Source organism: Homo sapiens, chromosome 4 (genome assembly GCF_000001405.40).
Source record: "Homo sapiens chromosome 4, GRCh38.p14 Primary Assembly".
Taxonomy (NCBI): domain Eukaryota; kingdom Metazoa; phylum Chordata; class Mammalia; order Primates; family Hominidae; genus Homo; species Homo sapiens.
Window position 1 is genome coordinate 159942765 of NC_000004.12, and position 27587 is coordinate 159970351.

General features: G+C 34.5%; 1 long non-coding RNA gene across 1 annotated transcript in view, besides 1 other annotated feature; it reads left to right on the forward strand.

Annotated features, from left to right (window-relative positions):
• The window catches only part of LOC107986324 (uncharacterized), a 487144-nt gene that overhangs the window by 402442 nt on the left and 57115 nt on the right, over positions 1-27587 (forward strand). The window lies entirely within an intron of this gene.
• Positions 7862-8528: an enhancer, noted in NCBI's record as "OCT4-NANOG hESC enhancer chr4:160871778-160872444 (GRCh37/hg19 assembly coordinates)". NCBI's record gives its function as "activates a minimal SCP1, AML or CMV promoter by ChIP-STARR-seq in primed H9 embryonic stem cells {active_cell/tissue: H9 hESC(primed)}" and the evidence as "EXISTENCE:reporter gene assay evidence [ECO:0000049][PMID:30033119]".

Consider the following 27587-nt stretch of genomic DNA (forward strand, 5'->3'; position numbering starts at 1 on the left):
CATTCACTGAACTCATCAGATCAAACAGGGTTCTTAAGGAATACTGATTTTATGATTCAGTAACTTTATTGAAGAATAGAGCCTCTTCTAAGTGTTTATACTGACTGCAAAGCTTCTTGCCCCATCTCACCCAGAAAGATATTGGCCTCAATAAGAACATGATGATATTTTTTTAATGAGGTATTCAAGTTTCCCTTCTCTCTATCCACTTTTTCTTTTTCATAGTTTAAACTTTTGCCTTTGTGATGATGATACTCATTTACAGTTTTGGCTTTCATTTGCCTGCCAACATATCTCTGGTTCCATTTCTCTATTTCCTCCAAGAAGATCTCCAGGTGATAGAACACAAGTGAAAAGGTAGATACTGGGAGGCAAGATGATGTTTTAGCATGTGCCACATTTGAGTAACTTACATATCTAAGTATAAAAGTCTAATGGGGAATTAGATATATGGGTTAGAACCAGATGAAAAATCTGAGCTGGAATATAAGTTTATGAGTCACCTGGATACAGGTACTAGTTCACCTTAGTGGATTTAATGATATAGCCTGTGAAGACTGAGTAGCATGAATAAAAAAGAAAGTAGGGAGATGGGGGGCTATGATTCGCATTGTGGGGATTCCAACTTTAATATTTAAGATTTGGACAGAGGAAGGAGAGTCCAAGAGGAAAAATGAGAAGCACAGACCATAACAACAACAACAATGAGGGTATGAACTGGAGATTGTCTTAGAAACAAAAGGAGGAGAGTTTTGAGAAGGGGGAACTCAGATAATAAAGGAAGTCATATGAGACAAAGATTGAATGAGGTATGGACAATTGTGGTGAATTCATCAATAAATACCAGTGGTAATGAGTTAATGGTAAGTATGGAAGTGGAGAGAATGAGACTCTGAAGTAGGGTTGAAAGAAAGGAAAGATATAAAGAAGTAAATTGAACAGCGGGTGGGATTAAGGACTTTCTTTAAAATGAGAAAAATCTGATCATGTTTCTTTGCCAAGAGGAAAAGATCAAAGCAGTCACATACACAGAAGAAAGAGGGGACCAAGGGTGGTGTTTCCATCCTCAAGAGGCAGATGCAGATTGAATTGAGAACTGGGGTGGAGATATGTTCCTGGTATCATATTGCAGCAATTGAAGGAATAGTTTCCAGAATTGTTACAATTTGTCTTTGATTTTTAGCTGTGCAACCTTAAGTAATTTGTTAAATGAATGACACCTCTCTCAAGTAAGTTATCATACTTAAATAAAGTATTCCTTGTAATGTTCTCTGATATAGAAATTAAGTAATACAGTTTTGGTATATTTATAATATTAAATAAAACAGGAGGTAAGCATATAAGGATATAAGCATATAAGGACGGGTATGGCTAAAACTAATTTTTTATGGATGGATATTACTAAGTTTTGCACAATTTCACCAGAATTTTTTAACCTCTCTGTGTCATGGTAGACGTGGTCATTGGTTGGGAGTGACTGAGTGAGTGGGCGATTGGGGTGCTTGAGGATAATAGCAGAGATTTGAGAGAGTTTTGTAGAAAATGGAAGAGGGAACACTAAGGAAGGATGATGAATGATGGAGAAAATGTATGTGTACGAATTTTGAATTTGAAAGATTTTTCTTTTCTTTTTCTTTCCTCTTCTCCTCATCTTTTTTCTTTCCCTTCCCCTCCCTTCTGCCTCCTCTCCCTTCTCTCTTCCATCTCCTCCTCCTCTTCCTCCTACTTCTCCTCACTTCCCTCTTCATCTCCTTCATCTCTTTCTCCTCATTCTTCTTCTCAGTTTCCTCCTGCTTCTTTGGCAATTTTAAACAGTTCCGTTACAGGAGCAGAAAAGGCAGATTTGTTCTGGGTGAGGGATTTACTTGTCGAGTGTGACATAAATGCAAGTGGATTAAGGGTGTTGGCAAAAGATTAGCCTAAGCGGAAAGAAAGTGAGGACAGCAGGAATTTGTAGGTAATGAGAAAAAAAAGGCAAGTTTAAGGGCCCTTGAATAGCAAGACATTGTAGGAGATGGAGACTAGAAGAACTGGGATAATAGGCATTGTAGTAAGAGAGAAAGATAATATAGGGTAAGATTTCAGAGGCGGAGTAATTCTAAATGATGACAAACTTGGCATGGCAACTATAGATGTACAGAGGAGAAATTAAGTGAATGCCAATTAGAAGGAAATCAAGAACTGTGGGAAACAGACATTATATATGTAATTTACATGGACATCTGAACCATGTGCCAACATTCTAATTAAATTTTGGAAGATAACCAATTTGAAAGCCACAATGAGTGGTAGAGAATTATGAAACAGTTTTAAATAAAAGGAGGAGGTAGCAGTGATCTGGAGGAAGCAGTTGAGAGTAGAATGTAGACAAGGGTATTAAAGGATGGCTTGTCACTGGAGAGGCCCAGGTTTCAGCTAATGGCAAGGAGGTTGAAGGATAATTCTGAAGATAAGGTAGAAGAAAGGTATTGTGAGATTACATCAGTGTCACTTGGGGCAGGGGAGAGGAGGGAGCACTTTTCCAAACTTTATTCCCCAGTGAGTTCCCACTTAAGCCTTGAGAGTCAAGCCAGCCATGTGCCTCTCTTAGTACAACTCTTCCCCTTCCCCTGTGATTCCCAGGTCTAAGCTAAAGAAAGAGGAAAGTTCTGTTATGATTATGATTGACAGATATGGATATTTTGATTAGAGCATTATGACCTTCTTGTGACTGAAAATGATCAAAGGAATTTTTACTGTGGAAGAGAGACTAGAAATCATGAGATGAGCCCTGGTTTCACCCAGGGATGGAACTACCCATAGCAACAGTGCAGTTGAAAGAATCCAGATGTTTTCTACTTTTGACCTTTGGAATTCCACTTCTTAGTATAATGGGTATAGTCTCTTTTGATAGTCATAAATTCACATTTGTTTCTTGCTAACAAGAGATTCAAAAGTCTCAAACCATAGTTGATTAAAACTCATGGGAATATTCTTGGAAGATGCATAGAATCAAAATTAATAACGATTACCACTAGTGAATGTTAGGGGTTACTTTCTTTCCTTGAATTCTAAATAGACTAACCCATGAATATTTTAGCTGTCATTTTTTTGTTGTATTCTTAGATTTGGCAAATGATTATGATTTGAAGTGTGCATCATAAGACTCTTTTGCGTATTGAAATGTATATCTGCTTTGCATGGGCTAGAAACAATTATTGATTGAATTTTTGCATACCTACAATCTGGCTGGGTGCTTCAGCCTTGTTTAAGGGGTTCAATTAAGCATTAGGGCACATTTACTTCCTTTCCTGTTGGTCTTTACTTCTGTCTGCCTGACAGTTGCTCTTTGTACTTCTCATTGTCATCCATTTTCTAAACATGTCCAGCTCAGGAGGACTAAATCGCAGTGAACTCCTGTCAGTGCTGATGGACTGGCTGGCTTCCAGGTCCTTCTTGTTGGTGATCTTGTCAAACCATTACATGCTGATTATGGTTTATTGATGATGCCTGTGAAACTGCTTAAGAGGCCAGATGTAGCATCTCTGAGCAGTTGAAGCCTCGCAGCTGGTTAGTATGTTGCACACTACTTCTGCTTTCTACACTGCATGATACTGTATCAGTGACACCATACCTGATAACCCCTTGAAGGACATGCAGTGCTTCTTGGCTGATTACTTTCTGGTCTCTAGATGCTTTAGCTCACATTACTGCCTAAATAAAAACTTACGGTAACTTTCTGTACTCACTCATATTTTTTCTTTTAGTAAAACAATAGCATGTCTTAAAAATATTTTCTGACTATTAACAAGTTTTCAAAGAATATCTTCATTATAGAATATTGATACATGAGTAACTTAAAAATTGGAATCCTTGAATTTTTGAATATGTGATGAGGATGGGGATGAGTGGATCATGCTTGCCAATATGTTCGGTCTATTTTATTTTGGTCCCAAAATTCTTATTTTTAGGAAAAAAATTGACAGAAGGATTATAATCATGAATATTCCAATTTGATCAAGACCCAGAATTTGTTATAAGCATCCTTTGAAATTTTATTCCACTTTTAAGACTGAGGTAATACTAATATCTGAAATATCAAGAAGAACTGTGTATGTGATTCTGTTATCAAAATTTTTACCAAATGCCATTTGAATTTATGGTATTAATAGAAATAATTATGCAACAAAAAGTCAGGTCTAAAATAAAGTCAACAAAATAACTCCTAAATGAATTTAGTTCTGGAAATGAATGTTTCTATTATTTTAATATTTACCAAATGGACACATACTTGCCTAATATTTAACCGTTACTTAACATGACAAGTTTATCTTGTATTGTACTAGCTAGGAACACGATGATAACTATGATTGCTGAAATCCTGTGTGTCTTAAAAACAGAGGTGCTTAACTAGGTGATTCATGCAGTAAATTAGTTCCTGACCACTAGATGGAGCTATGCAACCTCTTGCATTATTAACAGATTTCTTACAAACTACTTGCTTTCCTTGATGGGAAAAAATTATCCTTGAAAATTTCTGAGGAGAATCTTTTCCCTCCCATTTTAACCCCATCTTCTATTGATGACTGAAAAATGCCCCATAGTCTCTGTATAATGACAAAGCAGCATTACGGTAATGACATGGTAATCATTATATTATGTTCTAGGAAGGAAGTAGATACATCGCCAAGGTCACCCTAGAGTTAATTCAGCCTCTCCACTAATAGTAACAGGTCAATCATGGTGACATGCTAATAATTCTTTCTTTTTCTATTCATTGGTTCAAGACACAACTCATTAACTTCATCTATTTGAATTGTAGACCACAGCTTGCTTCTAGGATTTAGGAGGCTATGGAACTGTGATTACATTTGGAGCGAGTGCATAAACCACTAACAATGTAACAAGTACAAATAATAGTTTTTCTTCTCATTTTATCAGTTACCATCGTGATTAACTTAGTAAATAATCTACAGGTCTTTTTGGCTCTGGAGGAATGAGGCTTACCCCTAAACAATGATTAGCATTGCGTATGCTAAATTAAATATAATCTTGTGCTACTTAATGTTTATCTTTCCTTGTAAAGAAAGACTTATTTTGTTTTGATTTATAAGCAATTATTTCACTATTTTGGCTTTCACCCTAAATTTAACCAGCAAAAATAAAAAAAATCGTTCTCCTCAAATATTTCATTGTTCTCCCTTGTGGAGAACTATAATACTATGCACAAAATAGCTATTTAATAAGTTCTTGTTAGATAAATGAAAGGTTCATGACACCATGATTATAATTTATATAATGGGGTCAGTGCAATTTCATTTTCTTCTCTTATTCTTGTCCAAATTTCAATTTATTTAATTATCATAAAACTTCAAGTAACAAATATGTTTTAAATATTTAGATGTGTTGTTCCATATATAAGACAGATTTTTGGATGGTGAAATAATAATCTGAAATCCTACACACCACTGTGTTCCCCATTGATTCAGGTATTTAAATAAGAGATTTCTGGACTGGAGTCATTTTAATCAAAGATATTTATTTTGAATCTAAGGTCATACAGAAATTGGTAAATGATCAGAAGCAGTTAATTGTCAGTCAAATGTTTTTGATAGAGAATATTTGTGAAGAAAGGCATAATCAGAACATTTTTAAGAAAGCCACCTGTTTTTGATGGAGCAGGGGCAGAAAATGGAAGGATGCTTCACACTGCTCTTTGCTTCTAAAATGAGGCAGTTCTGGAAAACCATAGATAAAGAACCATCCATTAATCTCTTTTGGCATTCAAGTCAACCTGATACAAATATAGAAACTAAAATGAGTTGATTTTACCTCTGGGAGTAAATACAACCTCAATTTCCCTTCAGCCTGTAAAAAGCTTCTAAGAAATATAATGATACCTGGGTTAACAGAAAGGAAACACATTCAAATTTATATGTTTCATTTGCAAAATGATATTCCTTTGATTTTAACAGCAAGACAAATTCACAACAGAAAATTCAGAAAATGCAAAAATTATAAATGAGAAAATAGGAGTGACCCATAATTCCATCACTCAAAGAAAACAACTTGCAGGGTTGTATATGTGAGTTCATATATGTATGGGCCTGTACTGACCATGTTTACCTAATTTGCTTTTGGTTTTCTTTCCTGTAATATACAGAAAATCTTTTTAAATATCTCTGATTTATCTTCTAAAACATGATTTTAGTAACTACCTATTATTCTAATATATAGATGTACAATAATAATTTTACCAGGAATGTATTTTGGACCTTTAGAGGATGTCTTAATCTTGATTATTGTAATCAATGTTGTAGTAATTTTTAATATGAGTTGATGTATGGTGAAAGTCTGTCTCAGAATAATTTTCTATATATTTGTTATCATATAATGCTTACATGGTAAATATTTATACATATTATAAACCCATTCATATATTTTTATTACTGATTTTTAGCATGTAGAAAGGGAAGGCTTGTACAGCAACTCAGCCTTTCTATTGACAAAGCATGAGGGAAATGATAGGGTGGGTGAAGAGTTTGTTTAGTTGTATTTTTGAAATAGTGGCAGGAATATATAAAGATTATATCTATCTATACTTTCCCAGGTACTTGAACTCCTGATTTCTGAGGAGAACCTAAATGCAAAATAATGTTCTCCAAAGCAATCACATTTGTAATCAACATCAAGGCAGGGTATATTACAGCAGTGAGTAAAAGAATTAATGTACAGGCACAGATGCCACTCCCAGCAGGCCTGCTGACAGTAAGCATTTTACTAATTTTCTCTATTTGGCCATAATTTCACTCAAGGTCCCATTTGTAGTAAAGCTCAAGTAAACTTAACAACTTACTCTAGAAATGCATGAAAATGATGACCAAGGTGCTATTGTGCTCACCAACATGGTGCTACCAAGCAGCTGTCACTCGCTGGTTTTCCATCACATAGAAACAATTTTGTCACTTTCTAAAGGAGAATTTTCATCTATACATTTTCATTTTCACTTTTTATTTTGAAACAATTTTAAACTTACAGAAAACTTGCAAGGATAGTATGAAGGATGAATACCTATAACCCAGATTCCACGACTGATGACATTTAACCATACATGTTTTATTGTATTTTCTCCTTCCCTCCCTCCCTTCCTTCCTACTTACCTATCTCTATGCATCTGGCAGGAATATAACTAAGAGATGCTACGTTCTTATTATACTTTATCCTATATTATCTTATAGGTTGTTATAATATCAATATTCTCATTTTATTACTGGTGATTTTTAACTCTGATTTCTTGATTAAAGTGATACCTCAAGGTAAAGTTACTATTTTTCTTTTGTAATGAATCATTACTTTGATAAAATGAATCATTTTATCAGAAGACACTTTGAAAGTATGTAAGTTTCACTTTCCTAATCAAACTTTTACCCACTAGTTGTGGCATCCACTGAGGATCCTTGACTGAAATTGCTGTTACTATGATTTTTGCCAAGTGGTGGTTTTTGAACTCCATTACTCTATACTTACATAAAACACTGACAATATCATTTTTTATTTTGCTGCTAAAATTGCTGCAAATCTGGCTAGTAAAGCCACTTCAGACTGGTTTCTGTGTCATTTTTTGACATTTCCCTTCATTCTGTGAGGATAAAATATCATTTTCCAGCCCATCAATATGTTCTATGTTTATTTGTATTTTTCTTGCACCAGTCTCTGCGTCAGCCATTTCTTTAAGGAGTCCTGGTTCTTGTTAGTGGAGAGTGGTCTTAGAAACCAAAATATTATAAGCTAGATGTGCTTATTGTCACTTGAGTTTACTGCTTCTAGTCCCACTGGTTGGGTTAATTGAAAAAAATAATATATATGTGGTGTGTGTCTGTGAACATATATGTACATACACATATATATACACACATTTACATCTATGCTTCTCTTTCACTCACACCTTAAATTCATACCAATGCCACAAGTTTACTTCAATACCTCCAGTTCTAATCCAAATTCGTAAAATTCACTCTGGCATCTTTTCCATACTTGTAGTTCCCTTTTCTGACAATGAGGAACTTGGCTTCCATTTGCTTATTTTCTCAACACCCACATTGTTAATCAATCTCAATGATCACCCAGAGCTGCTGCCAAAAACCCAGCATGGCTGTTGTTTTGCAAAGGTCCTCAATTTGCTCTCAGCTGCCTCCAACAATAGTACTGGGGGAGGCACAGGACAAAGAGATGAAGAATAGAAGTGAAAGATCCCTGATGGCTTTTTGACTATATTATTCAAAGAAGGAAGGAAGGAAGAAAGGAAAAGAGTCTAAATATTTTAATGTATAAATAATTTGATCAGAAAAAAGTCCTTTACTCTTAGCTTTCTTTGAGTAGTTTTAATTCAATCAAACAAGAAATATATATAACATTTGAAAAAAGTCATCTCAAAGAGCATGATTCAGGTCTTTGATAAATAATGAAGGCCAATGTCATGTGAAATGATCTGAGAATTCATGCAGTTTATCTCCAAATCATGATTTTTCCCTTTATGATTTGATCATGGCTGCATAAAACTCTAGGGGTAGATGGCTGGCATACATAGGTTTATTCTTAATTCATTTTGATGTGGTCAATTTTGTTTAAATGGTATTCAAGTATTAATGTTAAATATCCAGGATACAGACTTTTGATTTTTTGAGTTGTATTCACTCAGGAATATGAGGTTCTTTCATAGAACATCAAAGATAACCACAGCATTTTCATTTGATTCCCAGCTGAAAGAATATAATGAAATTAAAGTCATCTTCCCTATTCCTTAATAAATGCTATGAATTGAAATTGAGCGCTAATAACTGAAGTGCCTAACTTCTGAGCATTTAGCAGAGTTGCTCACAGAATTCTTCAGCGGCACAGAGGAACTGAATGCAAAGGAAGAGAAACTTAAACACAAAAACCATAGTGAAAATTGAATTTTCTTTTGTAAGAATATTGTACACAGGACTGAGTTATGTCAAGAAAAAATGTTTTGCAATCAAGTTATTGACATTATGTTAGAAGGCTACAATGAATGGGATGTAGACCTGCATACATTACATTTTCCAGTCTGATTACTTACAAAGTTTCAGTCACAAACAATCTGTCTTCTTGTATTATCAATGTTTCAAGCAAAGAAGATTAGATGTTATGCAGTGGCATTGTCATACAGTTGTGAAATGGAAGATTTGTGTATTTATTCAACAAATATTTATTGAATGCCTAGTATGTTTTAGGCATTATTCTACTTCCTTACAGTACAGTGATAAATAAGATACCAGTGACAAATAAGGTAAATGAGATGAGTGATATTTAATCCTTGCCCTCATAGCTCTTACATAAGGGGGGAAGCAGGCAATGAACATATTAAGTATAAATATACACACATAAAATATTTCAGATAATGTTAAGTTTCACTATGGAAAATAAAAGAGAGTAATGGGACAGAATCAAGGTAGGTGCTAGTCTATTTAGAAACACTAACCACGGCAGAGTAATTACAAAACTTTACTTGTTAGAACGGAAAAAACTTGAGACATTGTTTAGTCCCACTCCATCTTTTTGCAAATATTAAACCTGAATTCCACAGAACTGGCCACTTGCCGAAGGTCCCATGGCTTCTGATGTTCTTGCTGGGATTTGAGTTCTAGTGTCTAGTAGACCATTAGTCACAGTCACTATGCGATATCCTGGAAATTTACTAGAAATGTAGATGGAGCCACTCAGTTTCATGTAGCTCCTTGTGATCCAGACACAGTCCATATTTTTAAATTTAGCTCTCAATTTTTTTATCTTTATTAAATTACTACTTATAAATAGTGGTAAATGACAAATTCTTTATCATTATATAGTATTATATATTCTAATAATATTTTCAACTGAATAAAATAACAAAAATAGTAGTCTCTGTCCCCATCTCTTCCAATGCCTGATTCCTATTTCTAGAGGCAATCATTTTTTTTTTTTTCCCTAGGGTTTCTTCTAGAATGTACCTCCATATAGCTAAATAATATGCTCATATTTCTATTTCTTGGTTTTCCAGTTTTTGTACCTAATAGTTTCCTTCAACAGGCCCAATTCCTGTCATATGATGACAGCAAGAATGAAAACATCTCCTATAGTTTTCTTAAATTTACTTGGTGGAGCTAGTGTTTTCCTTGATCTTAGATAAAGTTTAGGATAATCGTTTGGTCAATTTTAGTTAAAAAAATAAACCGTACATTCAATAATTAATATGCCTATTCTAAACAGTGGTAAAATATTTAATGTCGAGGCATGCATGCTTTTCTCCTCCTGCCTACATTTGTGGTAGGCTGTCAGCTTGCACAGTTTTGCACAAAGGAGGAGAATTGGATTCTTGGATCTCCACTTCTACTTCTATGGGATTCTATCCTGCTTCTCCTTCATTTGCTAACCCTTGAAAGTCAAATCTTGGGGTGGAAATGAGAGGAGAGAGGAGTTTTCTAGGCTATTAATAATATGAGATGGCATACTTCCACTCTGGGAAAGGCATAAATTGACCTGTTCTCTTGTAAGATCATTTTGTGGATGCTTTTGACATCTGTCCTGATCGAAATTCCCTCACCACCGGTTCCTGGAAATTCAGAGTTACCTTTCTATTGGGGACTATTGTTTTTCAACTGATGCAACTGACTGGATCTAACATATCTACCCCTAATTATGGGCCACATCTGTCCTGCAGTAACCAGCCACGCATCGTGTATCCTGACAAACGCTGAGAGCGTAGGCAGTCTTCTGACTGAACGACTTGTCTTGCACAAAGGTTGGCTTTTTCTCCTCTATGCTAGTGGAAAGGGGCAACACTACTTCTCCCCTCACATAGGGAAGGTCATGGGACTCACAGTTATCATTAAACCTCTCCCCAAATCCTTGCCTCTCTTTTTCCCCCAACTCATTTCCTTGACTCTCCAACTGTATTTATGGACTGCAGTTAGATATTCAACTAAGTGTTGGCAACCTATTTTCAACCACATTTTGGAGTATTGGGCATATTATTTGGGGACCTCAGCCCAAATGAAGATTAAAAGTTTCATTTGTAACATTTGATTCCAATATTTCTACTGATTTCCTTCTATGAAAGATGAAAATATAGCTCCCGTCTTTGATCTGTTTTTTGTTACATTTTTCCCTTGCTTCCATCTTCCTAAAAGAATTTTATCATGTTTTGGGTTGAATCAATATTTGGTGTGCACATTATAGTGATTATAAATATTTACAGCTGAGTCACAACTTTTACAGCTTTTTTATCCCATGCAATTTTTCTTTGATTGGCTTTTTTTTCTTTTTAAAATTGTTTATGTACCTATCACTAATTAATTCTAAACCATTTCATCTAAGGTACAAATATTGCTTTAATATGTTAAAAATCAGGAAAGGATAATAATTTTAGTTGCAGAGAAAACCTTGATACTTTTAAAGCAATCTAAATATGACCTGAGAAAGACTCTGAACTTCTATATTTGAGTCCTTTTGTCTCTTATCTACCTATGACCTGGAACACGGTCCTCGCCCCCAACCCCACTTTGAGTTCACTCCCAGCTCCACTTTGAGTTGCCCCACCTTACAGGACTGAACTGAACTGATGTATATCTTATACATATTGATTGATGTCTAATGTCTCCCTAATATGTATGAAAGCAAGCTGTACCCTGACCACCTTGGGCTCATGTTGTCAGAACCTCCTGAGGTTGTATCATGGGTGCATCCTTAACCTTACAAAATAATCTTTCCAAATTGGTTGACACCTATCGCAGATATTTTGGGTTCACAGTCTTTATTCGATCTTCACATTTGATTGCTAGCATAATTGAAAGACTTTGCTCACTGCCTTCTGGTTGCAGTATACTATGAAGTAGTTTGATAACATCCTAATTCTTGATTTTTTTGTTCTTCCCTCTTCTCGCATTGATTGTGTTGGTCATTTTAATCTGGCAGTTCATATCTTCAGTTCTAGGAAATAACCTTAGAATTACTTGGATAATTCCCCATTCCCGCAATTCCTCTTCTCCTTTACTGTAACATCTAACTTCTTATTGAAACCTCCTTGACAGGTCTTCTAATTAAAAAAAAAAAAAATGTTCTCTCCAATTCCTTCCCCACATCTTTGTCTTGTTTCGATATCTGAGAAATTTCCTCAAATTTTAAGTGTTGTAACTTTTATTGAGTTTTTATTAATGCTATGAGACAAATGTTTTCTAAGAATTTTGGGGGGAAATATTCTCATTTAAAACAAAAACATAGCAATCGATGCTATCATATAAATATATATATATTACATATAAATATATATAACATCTGAAGATCTTACTTTTCTATCATTCCCTGAATAGTTTCTGTTTACTCTGGATTTTAAATTTTTTATATTATTTTGGTCTCTTTTTTTTTTACAATGGCAAAGGCTCTTTTCAAATCTGTGTCAATCCTTTTTTCTGTTTTTACTTAAGCCCAAGGCACTAAAATGCTGTTTGAAAATTCTGTTTATGCAGGTGATTGGTGGTCTCAGGCACTTTATAGTAGGGAACCTGCCAGTTTGATGGGGGGGATTTCTAAATGTGGTATCCATTGATCTTTTGTTTGAGGCTAGTCCATTTCCCTAGAAAGGATTCTTTAGATTTTCTGCCAGCGATGTTGTCAATGTGGCTCCCACCATTCTCGGAGTCAGTTTGTTAAGACAGGCTATTGTTTCACTGTGTAGTAGGTCAATTTCCACTTGATCCCACTTTTTTAAAGCACAGCATTCCACCTAACCCCAGCCCCTTCAGCTGTGCTTTTTGTCTCAAGAGTCAAGTCCGTCTACTTCAAGCTCTCTTGAGAGTAAACCTCTAGTCTTCTGTTGTGACGCACAGGGAGAACTGCCTGGCTGCATTGAACAGATGAGGGTTTCTTGGACATCTAACCACTACCTATAAAAACTTTCAAACCATTTTCTAGGATTTAGTAGCACTTAAAAGACTGCCTTCAGAGGTGATTAGGGCCTTCATCACTTCTGTATCCACATTTTAACTTTCAGTTTCTTGATATCACTTTTGTTTTTCTTTTATTTTTTTTGAGACGGAGTCTAGTGGCGGGATCTCGGCTCACTGCAACATCCACCTCTCGGGTTCAAGCGATTCTCCTCCCCCTACCCGGCTGCAGCTGGGCTACAGCGCCACCACCACGGCCAGCTAATTTTTGTATTTTTAGTAGAGATGGGGTTTCACCATACTGGCCAGGCTAGTCTCAAACTCCTGACCTCGTGATCCACCCGCCTTGGCCTCCCAAAGTGCTGAGATTACAGGCGTGAGCCACCGTGCCCAGCCGATATCACTTTTCTAGTGTCTTATCTTGCACTCTCTTCTTTGTTCTTGTAAATTTAGGACTTTTTAATTCCTTTACTCTGTTCTCAGTAAAGTTTTGAGATGGAGCAGAAATAAACATACCATGCAATCTATTATGTTTTCTGGAAGCTTTATATCTTCTTTTCCTGTTTATATTTTTTGCACATTTTAAAAGGTTCAACTTCAAATAAATTAGTATAATTTAATTTTTTAAATCATGAAAGATGTTAATTTACTTTAATAAACTAAAAATAATAAACATTTATTTAGAATTAATTATTCATGTGACTGGGGGAGGCACGTGATTCCACATGATTGGGGAAGTTAAAATGCAAGAATCATTTGAATGTCTCATTGTTCTAATAAATAGCCAAATCAATCTCTTCAGATGAACACAAACTGTGCTGGAATACAGATAGTATGTTATACAAAGTCCATGTTATTGGTGTTTTAAAAATGGTTAATATTTGCAGTTTGCATTGACATTGGATGTTTCAGAAATGAATTCACAAAAGATTTTTTGATGATAAGGTAGGTACAGAAATTCATAAAAATAATTTTAAGTGAATATTCAATCATGAAATATGTATCAGCAAAACAAATCTTATTATCTAGTATTCCTTATTGTTATGATGAACAAAGTTATTATATAATAATAGTATTAAATTCTAAGAGTATTCCTGTGGAAAGACGCAAGAAATTAAAAAGGTAGTTGTATTTCGCTTCTGATCTATACACAAACTCTGACATATTAACTTTTTGTGGGTCAGTTTTCTTTTTAAATTTATTCCTTTAAAAGTTGATGATCTATTAGTGAAAGGTCAGTCTTTTATCAAAAATTCACCTTTCTACCACTTCTGTTCTGTTCCCCACACTCTCCACACACACATACATCTTCAACAGCTTGCTCTTGTCATGTAGACGTTGGCTGTCTGGATTTTTCAACAGCTGAATTCAAACAATACAGCTTTCAATATTTTATTTTCATTCTTGGAGACATACTATGTAGTTCATTACACAGCCTAGAAATATTCTTACTTCTGTGAAATATTGATTAGTAAAAGACTGGGTTCAATGTTTTATAATTGAATAAATGTGTATACTTCTCGAAGTACTATTATTAATAACTAATCAGAGCTTTTTCTATCAGTAAAGAAATCTTTATAAATCAAGCCTTTAGGACCCTAAATTATGCACTTAATTACAGAAAGGTTAAATTGATAAATGCTTTATTCTATAACATATGATTTTTGTAAAGCATAAGCTTGGAAAATGAAAAAAATTAGAAAGGTGAATATTATAATACGCTAGTACTATAAAGCCTAAGTTACAAAGAAGAAAGTGAACATGAGAAAGAAAAGAAAGGAGAATTCACAGTGCAGATAAGAAAGAATGTTGAAAATTTAAGACAGTGCTTAATCATTAATAATCGTATTCCATGAAGTGCCCGACTGAGAGAATAAAAGTGAAAAGAGATTTAAAGATAGCTGTGGTGATGGGGGGCATGGTCATTGGGGCTAGCTCTTCACCAATAAGTTAAAAAATTATTTAGAAAAACTCAAAATAGTCCATTTAGCATTCAACAAAGCTCCATTGGTACTAAATCTTTTGTAGCTCTGTATAAGTCTGGTCTTCTAAATAGCCTGAAACATTTAAAATGTCATATAATACAGTTTTCAAGGCAAAGACTAAAAAGAACACACTTGGTCAAAAATAAAAAGGCTATAATAAAAAATCTAATATTTTTAGAGGAAAACAACTACCACTTAGCATGATCAAGGAGTTCATTTATAAAAGTTATTCATCAGAGACAAATAGGAAACCATTAAGCAGTACTCAGCTTCTACAAGATATATATCCCAATTGCTTATGAGGCTATTTGACATTGTTGAGCTCTTTGCTCTTTGTAATTGAAGGGCTTTATTAAATAACAAGAGGCTCTTCTTGTATGGACTATTGCCTTTAATTTGTGATATAAATTTCTGCAAAAGACAGCTCAAAGTCAAGCAGTTAACGCTATGGATGCTATACTGCCAATGTGAACAATTTTAAATGCTCCAGCTGATTTATATATTTTAATTTATAAACGCTGTGTTTCCTGTTAGTGTTTAATAGAAATTCAAAATATTATCATTATTATTAATTACAAGTTTTATTTGTGGTGTTCTTAAAAAGTTCAATAATCATAAGAGTAATTGTATTATTATTTTTACATTTTTTGGCTTAATCTCAGTATAACACTCAATTTAATGTAGTGATCTTCAGCATATTTTTAATATCTGGTAGGGTTAGTTCACCTCAAGATTAATTTTTCAAAATAACTTGACTATTTGTGGAGTTCTATTCTAATGTATAAAGTTGAATGTTTGCATAACTCTGCACTTTCTTTTGAATTTTGATGAAAAGGACAACAAATACATGTAGGTGGACACAATAAGCTATACATTTTCCTTCAGTTTACTTTTAGCTGCCTAACATAGGATGCAAATTTCTCATTTTCATTAGTTCTAAGTATTTTATAATTTTACTTAATGGTTTCATTTTAAACTATGGGTTATTTACTAGATATTTTAAGGTTACTACCTAGATTTTGATTTTTCCTTTTACTTCCCATTTGTTAATGTATATTATCATTGCATTATGGTTAAAGAACATTGCCATGGTTTGGAAATGGTTTGTCTTTCCCCACCAAAACTCATGTTAAAACTTGATTGATCCCTAATGTGGCTGTGTTGAAAGGTGGGGGCCAGTTGGAGGTGATTGAGTCATAGAAGCAGATCCCTCACGAACAACTTGGTACCATTCTCCAAAAAGTGAGTGAGTTATCCTATGAAACTGGATTAGTTCTACAGGAAATGGAATAGTTTCCACAAGAGTGGGTTGTTATAAAGTCAGGAGGCTTCTTGGGTTTCTCCCTTTTGCACTGTCCACTTCTCCTTTGGCCTTTCACCGTGTTGTGATGCAGCAGGAAAGCCCTTAGCAGAGGCTGAGCAGATGCTGGCACCAACATCATGCTTCTTGTACTTCCCAGCCTGCAGATCTGTGAGCTAAAGAAGCCTCTTCTTTATAAATTACCTAGCCTGAAGTCTTCTGGTGTAGCAACACAAACCAGACTAAGACAAACATGGGATGTTGGTTTTCTTGACCTTACCAAGCTATCCTTTGTCAACCACTTATAGTTGATTTTTTATAAATTTTCCTTATTTATACAAAAAAACCCCAGCATGTTTTTGCTGTAAGAACATAGCTGTCAAGTTAGTGAACATCAGTTATGCTTTTAAACACTGTATATCCTTACTTGGTCTATGTAGGCATCATGTGTCATTTTCCGAGTATAATGTTATCTTCTGTCACTAAATTTGTTATTTTCTCCAAGATTCTAAAAAAATGAAGCTTTGTGCATGTTAAATCTCTACTGTTAGCTGTGAGCATGTTTATAAGCATAATATCTTCTGGCTCAAGTGTTACTTTTATCAGGATATAATGCCTATATTTATCTTTTATTAAGTTTTTTACTAAGAATTTTCTTGAATCTAAAATTGCAACAAGATTTTTGTTGTGCTTTTGATAAATTAAATAGTAGAATTGAGATAGCCAAATAATGAACTAATAAACTAGAGCATCGTTAAACACTTTTGAAAGCATCATCAATGAAAAAGATCAGCTCTATTTCTAAATAACAATGATATAAAATATGGAATTAAACATGTCAGTATTAATATATGACTATGTAATCAAGAAAGAAATATAAATGGAAGAGAATTAAAAGATGGTAAAAAATTAAAGAAAAATGAATGTTCATAAAATAAAATAGTTCATAGATACTAAAAAGATTTTTTTTGTGCCTACACCTAAATAAAATTCATAAAGTTTAAGAAAAGACCATTGCTTTAGGTCAATTATATTTTTGAAAGTACAATTTGGCTTACATTTACTTATTTTTAATTTTTAATGTTTTTTTAGAAGCAGAGTGTCTGTCACCCACACTGTAATGCAGTGGTGTAATCATAGCTCACTGTAACTTCAAACTGCTGCAATCCTTCCACCTCAGCCTCCTGAGTAGCTAGGACTGCAGGTGTACCACATGACCAGCTAGTTTTTAAATTTTTTTTATAGAGATGGGATCTTGCCATGTCACCCAGGCTGGGTTCTCAAACTTCTAGCCTCAAGCAATCCTCCTGCATTGGCCCCCGTAAGTACTGGGACTGCAGGTATGAGCCATCATGCCCAGCCTGGGCTTACACTTAAATACTTGTATATTAGCAGCTAATCATTTCAAATGAAAATTTACAGTACCATCATCAAACATAAAATAGTTAGCAATACATTTAACAAATGTTGGGCAAATCTTCTACACTGAAAACTTTAAAACATATCTGAAATGAAATAAAGACCTAAATAAATGGGAAGAAATACCATATTCATAGATTAGCAAACTTAGTATCAATATTTTAAGATGTTAGTTCTTCTAAATTTGTCAAAGTATTCACTTTTGAAAAGAACATATTTTTAATTATTCTGCTTGAAGTTTGCTAAGCTTCTTGTATGTATAAGATGATAGTTTTAATCAAACCTGAAAAAATCCTCAGCCATTATTTCTTCAAAAATATTTTTTCCTAACAAAGTAGTTTTCTCCTGTTCTTCTGGAAATTCAGTTATACATGTATTATATACCTGATATTTCTCACATGTTACTAAGTCTCTGTTACCTTTCAGTTATTATATTCTCTCTGATTTTTAGATTGGCTAATTTCTAGTAATTTCTTTTCAAGTTTACCAGCCTTTTCTTCTGCATTTTCAATTTTATAGTGAGTGTTTTACTTTAACTAAGATACTTTTCAGTTTTATAATTTCTATTTGTTTTGTTTTTATAAATTACATTTCTCTTCAGAGATTTCTCTCTATTCAATCATTGTATTCATTTCTCTATATAATATATATATTTAATTCACACAAAATTTGTTCATAGTTTTGGAGTACAGTGTGATATTTTAATACATGCATACAAAATCAGGATAATTAGCATATCCATCACCTCAAACATTTATTATTTCTTTGTGTGGGTAATATTCAAAATCCTCTCTTGAAAAATTACAATAAATTATTGTTGAATATAGTTACCCTACAGGGCTATAGAACAGTAGAACATATTCCTCTTATCTAGCTGTAATTTTTTATGTGTTAATCAACTTCTTCCTATACTCTCCTCACACCTACTATTAACCTCTAGTATCCACTATTCTTCTCTTTACTTCTATATCAACACTTTTAGATCTCACATATGCATGAGACCATGTGGTATTTATTTTTGTGTGCCTGACTTGTTTCATTTAACATAGTGTCCTCCAGTCTCACGCACATTGCCATGAATGACAAGATTTCATTATTTTTTATGGTCGAATAGTATTCCATTGTGTATATATACCACATTTTCTTTATCATTTCATCTGCTGATAGACACTTAGGCTGATTTCTTATTTGGCTACTGTGAATATTACTGGAATAGACGATATGTGCAGTTATCCTTTCCTTTGGATACATATTTAATAGTGGGATTGCTGGATCACTTGGTAGTTCTATTTTTAGCTTTTTGAGGAGCCTCTGTACTGCTACCCATAATGGCTGACTAATTTACATTTCCAAGAATGCATATGACTTTTTTTAAATGTCTGCATCCTTGCCAGTATTTGTTATTTTTTGTCTTTTTGATAATAGCCATTATAACTGCGATGAGATGATATCTTATTTTGATTTTCATTTGCATTTCCCTAGTGATTAGTGGTGTTGAGCATTTACTTATGTTACAATTTGAATGTCATCTTCGGAGAAATGTCTATTTAGATCTTTTGCCTATGTTTAAGTTAAATCATTTGTCTTTTTGCTTTTGAGTTATTTGAATTACCTGTCTATTCTGGATGTTGATTTCTTATTGGATGAATAGTTTGAAAACATTTTCTCCCATTCTTCTGGTTGTCTCCTCACTCTGTTGATGGTGTCTTTTCTGTACAGAAGCTTTTTAGTTTGATATAATCTCATTTGTCTATTTTTCCTTTTGTTGCCTGTGCTGTTCAGGTATTAACCATAAAATCTTGATCCAAATCAACATCCTGAAGCATGTCCCCTATATTTTCATGTAGTACTTTCACAGTTTTGGATCTTACATTTAGGTCTTTTGTCCATTTTGAGGTGTTTTTGTGTGTGTATAGTGAGAGAGAGGGGTCTAGTTTCATCCTTCTGCATATGAATATCGAATTTTCCCAGCACCATTCATTGAAGAAACTGTCCTGTCCCTCATGTATGTTCTTGGCACCCTTGAAGAAAATCAGCTGGTTATAAATAAATTGGTTTATTTCTGGATTCTTTATTCTGTTTCATTGATCAATGTATTTTTTTAATGCCAGTATTATGATGCATTGGTTACTATAGCTTTGTAGTATATTTTGAAGTCAAGTAGTGTGATGCCTCCAGCTTTATTTTTTGGCTAAAGAACATTTTGATATTTGGGATCTTTTGTGACTCCATCCAAGTTTTAGAATTATTTATTCTATTTCTGTGAAGAATGCCATTGGAAGTTTTTTAGGGCTTGCACTGAATTTTTAGATCACTTTGGGTAGTATGGTCATTTTAACAATATTTATTCTTCAAATCTATGAATGTGGTATGTCTTTCCTTTTTCTGTTGGTATGTCTTCTTCAATTTTATTCATCAATGGTTTATAGTTTTCCTCATAGAGATCTTTTACCTCTTTGGTTAAATTAATTTCTACACTTTTTTTCTAGACTGTAAATAGGTTTGCTTTCTTAATTTATTTTTTAGCTAGTTTGTTACTGGTTTATAGAAACACTACTGACTTTTGTGTGTTGACTTTGTATTCTGCAACTTTACTAAATTTATCAGTTCTAAAAGTTTTTTGGGAAAATCTTTATGTTTTATGATATATAAGATTATGTCATCTGTAAACAGGGACAATTGCACGTACTCGTTTCCGATTTAGTTGCCTTTTCTTTCCTTCTCTTGCCTAACTGTATTAGCTAAGACTCTCCGTACTATGTTGACTAAGAGAGGTAAAGGTGGCCATTGTTTTCTTGCTTCAGTTCTCAGTGGGAAAACTTTCAATTTCTTTTAGCATGTATTTGGCTGTGGGTTTGTCATATATGGTCTTTATTGTTTTGAGGTACATTACTTCTATACCTAACTTGTTGAGGGTTTTTATTATGAATATGTTTGTTTTTATCAAATGCTTTGTTTGCATCAATTGCGATGATTATATAATGTTTCTCCTTCATTCTGTTGATGAGATGTATCATGTTTATTGATTTGCATTGTTGAATGAACCTTACATTCCTAAGACAAATCCCATTTGATCATGGGATATACTATTTTTGATGTGCTGTTGGATTCAGTTTGCTATTATTTGTTGATGATTTTTGAATCTATGTTTATCAGGGTTATTGGCCTGTAGTTTTCTTTCTGTGTTGTTTCCTTGTCTGGTTTTGATATTGGAGTAATGCCGGCCTAATAGAGTGAGTTTGGAATAATTTTCATACCTTTAATTTTTTGGAATAGTTTGAGAATTTGTGTTAGCTCTTTTTTAAATGTTTCGTAGAATTCATCAGTGATGTCATCAAATCCTGTTCTTCTTTGTTGGGAGACTTTTTATTACTGCTTCAATTTCAACTCTTATTATTGTTCTGTTCAGGTTTTCTAGTCTTCCTGTTTGAATCTTGGTAGGTTGTATGTTTCTAGGAATTTATCTACTTCCTCTAGGTTTTCTAATTTGTTGGTGTACAGTTGTCCATAGTAGTCTCAAATGATCCTGTGTATTTCTTTGGTATCAGTTGTAATGTCCCCTTTTTACTTATGATTTTATTTATTTGGGTTTTCTCTCTTTTTTTCTTAGCTAATTGTTTGTTGATTTTGCTTATCTCCTTTAAAAAACAACTTTTTGTTTAATTGTCTTTTATTTTTTAGTTAGTACTTTATTTCTGCTTCAATCTTTATTATTTATTTCCTTTTACTAATTTTGGATTTTCTTTGTTCTTGCTTTTCTAGTTCCCTGAAATGAATCATTAGATTATTTATTTGAAATCTTTCCACTTTTTGATGTTGGCGTTTATTGTTATTAAGTTTGCAGTTAGTACTGCTTTTGCTGTATCTCATAGGTTTTGTTATGCTTTTTCTTTTCTATTTTCATTTGCTTCAATAAATGTTTAAATTTTCTTCTTAATTTACATTTCAACCCATTGGTCATCCAGGCACAAATTGCTTAAAATCCAGGTATATGTACAGTTTCCAAAGTTCCTCTTGTTATTGATTTCTACCTTTATTCCATTGTAATCACAAAAAGATACTTCATATGATTTTGATTATTTTTAATTTGTGGAGACTTGTTTTGTGGTTAGAATATTGTTTGTTCTGGAGAATGTTCCATGTGCTGATGAGAAGAATGTCCATTCTGTCTTTGTTGGGTGAAAAGTTCTGTAAATACCTGTTGAGTTTATTTGGTCTATAATGCAGTTTAAGTCCAATATTTTCTTATTAATTTTCCCTTCAGATAATTTTTTTCCAGTATGATAAGTGGGATATTGAAGTCCCCACATATTAAAGCAGGATCTATCTCCCCCTTTAGACCTAATAACATTTGTTTTATACATCTGGGTGCTCCAACATCAGGTGCATATATATTTATAATTATTATACCTTATTGCTGAATTGATTCATTCATCATTATATAGGCCTTCTTTGTTTCATTACAGTTTTTGACAAAGTCTACTTTATCTGGTATAAGTATAGCCTCCTGCTCATTTTTGCTTTGCATTTGTGTGGAGTATCTTTTTCATCCCTTCACTTTCAATTTGTGTGTGTCTTCACAAGTGAATAATTTTCTTGTAGGTGGCATATAGCTGAGTTTTTTTTAATTCAGCCAATTTTGATCTTTAAATAGGAAATTTATTCTGTACATATTCAAGATTATTATTGATAAACGAGGATCTACTCCTGTAATTTTGTTATTTGTTTCCTAGTTGTTTTTTATAGTTTCTTATTGTTTATCTTTTTGATGTTTTGGTTTTCTGTAATGATAGAATTTTATTCTTTTCTCTTTTTCATTTGTATATCTGCTCTATTAGTGAGTTTTATGCTTTTGTACGTTTTTGTGACAGTAGTTATTGCCCTATTACTTCTGGATATAGGACTCTTTTTAGTATTCCCTGTAAAGCCAGTCTAGTGTAGACGAATTTTTAAGTTTTTGTTTGTCTGGGAAATAATGTCTTTCTTCTTCATTTCTGAAGGATGACTTTCTGAGTGTAGTATTTTTAGCTGACAGCTTTGTTTTTCTTTCAGCAATTTGAATATATCATCTCATTCTCTTCTGGCCTGTAATGTTTCTGCTGAGAAATCTGTTGTTAGTCTGATGAGGATTTTCTTATATGTGACTTGATGCTTTTCTCTTGCTGTTTTTAGAATACTTTCTTTGTCTTTTACTTTTACAGTTTGAGTATAACTTCCCCTATAGAGTACCTTTTTGAGTTGAAACTATTTAGGGAGTTTTGAGCTTCTTTAATCTGGATGTTCATATGCCTCCCAAGACTTGGGAAGTTTTCAGTTATTATTTTATTAAATAGGTTATTTCTGTGCCCTTCCCATTTCTTCTCCTGCATAATGCAATGTCCGTAACACAAATTCCATAATGCAAAAGTTTGATCACTTAATTTTGTCCCATAAGTCCTGTAGGAGTTATTCATTCATTTTTCTTTTCTTTTGTTTCACTGGGTTATTTCACAAGACCTCTTTTCAAGTTCAGAAATTCTTTCTCCTGTATCATATAGTTTGTTGATGAAGCTCTCAATTATATATTTTTTTATTTTATGCATTGACTTCTTCAGCTCCAATATTTCTCTTTGGTTCTTTTTAGTGATATCTATCTCTTTATTGAATTTCTATTAATATCATAAATTCTTTTCCTGATTTTGTTGAATTATTTATCTGCATTCTCTTGTTATCTAAGTTTCCTTAGGATGACTATTTTAAATTCATTTTCAAGCAGTTTGTAAATTTCAGTTTTTTTAGGTCAGTTACTGGAAAATTATTCTTCTTAGTGATGTCATATTTCTTTGCTTTTTCATGTTTCTTGTACTCGTGTGTTGATATTTGTGCATCTGATGGAACAGTACCCCAGTTTTGTAGACTGGCTTTTGTGGGAAAGGACTTTCATGGGTAGATTTGGCTGAGGGTGTCAGTTGGGTAGGGTGTGTTGGCTTTGTTCTTGTTGGTTGCAGCAGTATTGTCTGTGCAGTTTCTTTAGCTATTGATAACATCATGTAATGGCTATAAGTGCTTCAGTGGCTTAGTCTGCAGAGATTTTTGTTGCTGGTTTGTCTTTTGGGCTCTGCTACCCTGGGCACAGGTTGGTGAGCTGGTCCTTGCTCTGTGGAAGTGCAGAATTCATCAGCGAGTGGCTCAGATCAAGCACTACTTCCCTGGGGGCAGTGCAGAGCGGGGGAAGTGCAGGGAAGATCAACTGGTAGCTCAGCTTGGTTACTGCTCCCCTGAGGTTGGTGCACAGGCCTGGTCCACTTTTAGAGAAAGTGAGCAGCTTGTCAACCTGTAGCTGGATTTGAGCACTGCTTCCCTGGGTGAAGGGCACTGGGGGGTCTGTGTTCCGTTAAGCACAGAGCTGATCAGCCTGTGGTTTGGCTTAGGCAAGTGCTTCCCTGGGAAATGGTGCCAGTCCGGTCTGCATTCCAAGGAACTGAGGATCTGATCAGCTGGTGGCTTTGCTTGGACACTGCTCCCCTGGGGGTAGGGCACCGAGGCAACAGCTGTTCCATGAATCTAGTCTCTGAGTGGCCAGGATCATCGTGCTGTATCCCTTGGAATAGGAAATATAGAGCACCTCCTAGGTTTCTCTCAAGGGTTAGAGAGCTGTAGCAGCTGAGCTTGGGAATGCTGAGCTATCAGCTGTGAGCATGATGTAATGGGAGTAGAGCCTCAAGTTCAGAAAGATACAATTGCTACTGGTCTTCAGAGCAGGACACATTCTAGCTGTGGTTGCAGTTTTGAAATGGTGCCTTATGGCAGCTCTTTGGGTCATTGCAGGGCAGCAAGCACAATGTGGGCTCCTTCTCTAAAACAATGCAGCAAGGAGAGCTTCTTGCAGCAACCTAAAACAGGCTTAGGGCTATAAGAGATGCAGGATTCTCCAGCAGCAGAGATTGCAAGGATTCACAGCATTAATGGGGGATCCTGGGGGCTCCTGATTATCTTCTCCCCACACAGTGAAGTCCTTCCTGGCTCCAAGCTGACGGGAGAGATGAGGTGGGAGCAGGGTGGTGCTTTGCTCCTTTCTCTAAGCAGCCATCCTGAATCTTCATGTTCCACAATGTCTCTGCCATTCTCCTGCTGCACTCCAGCATTCTCCCTCAGATATTTTAATCAAGATATAGCTGTTTATTAGCTATTTTGGTACTATTTTGTTGGGAGAACACGTGCTAGGCACCTCTAGTCAGCCAACTTGCTGATGTTATCATCCTGTCTTTTAGTTTAAATTCTTTAACATGTTTCTAAAAGTTATTTTATAGTCCTTGTCTGCTGATTGCCATATCTGCGTCGTCTTTCTACTAATTGCCTGTTTTCTTGATTATGTGTCACATTGTCCTACTTCTTCATATAGCTAGTCATTTTAATTATATGATAAACATTTTAAATGGTTTATTGTAGGGGGTCTTGATTAATTGCCCTCTAAATGATATTTATTTGTTTGTTTTCCTGGAAACCAGATAAATTACTTGTGGGTCTTTCTAATCTTGTCAGGCTTGGCTTCTTTTCTTATTATTTGTGGTCTCTTTAAGTTTTGACCTTAGTCACAGGGTATGGCTCTAAGTTTAGGTCATAGTTGTTACTCTTAAGGCATGGCCTTTTTGAGGATCTCAATTGAGTACTCGGGCTTCACTGCAAAGTTTCCAAGCACTCTGAACTGCATAATCATTTTCATTGTATATATTGTTAGCTATCAGCTGTACAGTTCTATGATTAAGCCTTGTTATTCATATAATCTTGACAAAGAACTTGCACAGCCCAGTCCTTTGTAAAAAACTTGTGGGCCGGGTGCAGTGGCTCACGCCTGTAATCCTAGCACTTTGGGAGGCTGAGGCGGGGGGAATCATGAGGTCAGGAGTTCGAGACCAGCCTGGCCAACATGGTGAAACCCCGTCTCTACTAAAGATACAAAAAATTACCTGGGCGTGGTGGTGCATGCCTGTAATCCCAGCTATTCAGGAGGCTGAGGTGGGAGAATGGCTTCAACCTGGGAGGCGGAGTTTGCAGTGAGCCGAGATTATGCCATTGCACTCCAGCCTGGGAGACAGCAAGACTCTGTCTCAAAAAAAAAAAAAAAAAAAGAAAACAAGAACAACAAAAACAACTTGCGAGATACAGACTTCTAGTCACCCTCTTTTTGCTTCTACCTCTTGTTGACAATCTTCACCACAATTTTAAGCCTCCTAAGAAGGCTGTGCACCACTGTTTGCCTCCTCAGCTCAGCCTGTCTACTGTGCTTTGTTTGAGTTTCACTTCTTTGTGCTTTGATGCAGAAAGTCATCTGGCCAAAGAAAAAAAAAGTTTCCAAGGAAAACAGGAATCTGATCTATTAAATTTTCTAATTTTCTTTGTCTCAAGAATCACCTCCCCACCTTGCTTGTTTTCTTGTGCCTGGAAATGCTTGTCTCATGTATTTTGTCCAGTTTTATATTTGCTAGGGCAAGAGGGCAAGTTTAATTTCATTTCATTTTAAACTTCAATTTTGTAGCATTTTAATATATTGAAGTTCATTATATCTAATTGGAGCTCAAGAATTACTGACATTTTTGTTAATGCAGCATTTTATTAAATATTCTCTTGCTGTGTAGTTTGTTAATAGTATGTGGCATTATAACAGATAAACACAAAATTTAGCACTGGAAGATTTTTTTTCTTGGAATTATCTGTAAATTTATACTTTTTTCAAAGTTAATGTTCAGCCAAGGAGACCAAAGTCACTCTGTGTATTTAAGTATGAAGGAGAATATAAAATTATATGATTACATTATAATTGAAAGGGCTGGGGGTGTTAAGGTTGGACAAGTCTATCTTAGTCTGCCACACTGATGTCAGTGATTCTCAAGGAGCTCAACTGAGAGTTGCTTCAAATATCATGTCTTCCCATTCATCTGCCAGCAACTGTCCCTGAAAAATAATGACCTTTTCTGATTTTAGTTTTTGCAAATCTTATGTCTCTTGATAGGCTCTAACCTGGAACTATATGGAGACAGAAATTCTAGAGAATGTAGTTCTTAGCTTCCCCCTTAGGGTGCACAGAGAAAATCCTAGAAGAAGGTAGTTGTAATGCTGATTTGATTTCGACAATGCAGCAATGTATGCTTTGCCTCAACATCTCAAATACATGAACTTTTCTAAAATGTGAAAAAAATTGGAAATTACTTTGTGAGCAGAAAATTTTGAATGTATTTCAGTTATTTAAATATTTTATTTTATATTTTAGTTTTATTGAGGTATATTCCTAATAAACCTTCCCTAAGTGAACACTGGTGCACAAATATCATTTGAATAGGTTTAAAAATGTCTGAATCACTCTGAACGTAGAAAAAGAAATAATATTTTCAATTAATTATTAGAATAATTATGATAGTCTTAAGGTAAGGCACTTAAAATTTAAAATTAAACTCTCCATAAATCCATAGCTCTGAATACTAATCTAAAATGTTTCTAGCTTTACTTACATGTGTGAAGATGCCCTGTTTGTGTAGCACTCTCAATTAATTTTAAGGCATCAACTGAATAAAAAGTGAGTACATAAAAGGCAGAGAAAGATTTAAATATTGGTCTCTGATTTGCCATATATCTTCCTCTGAAGACACTAAAGATTCAATTATCATTAAAGTGTAAGTGTGTATCTCTGTCGCTTGACCAGGATTATCACCTCTGCCATTTGAACCTGGAGGACTTCATGTAAGGTCATCCTATCCTTCGTATATTTAATTGCCGTGGAGATGTATATCAATTATGCTCATTCCAAGCATATCAAAGGTAATCTTATGTGAAAATGCCCCTTTAATATTTTAAGTCCCTTGGTATTTGTTTGCTGTGGGTACTCCTGGAATACCATGGAGAAAAAGAACTTTAAAGTGCATTGGAAAGAAAGAGAGGGTAACTCATGCATAGGGAGTGATAAATCTGCCTATAATGGTCTGGGCTCTA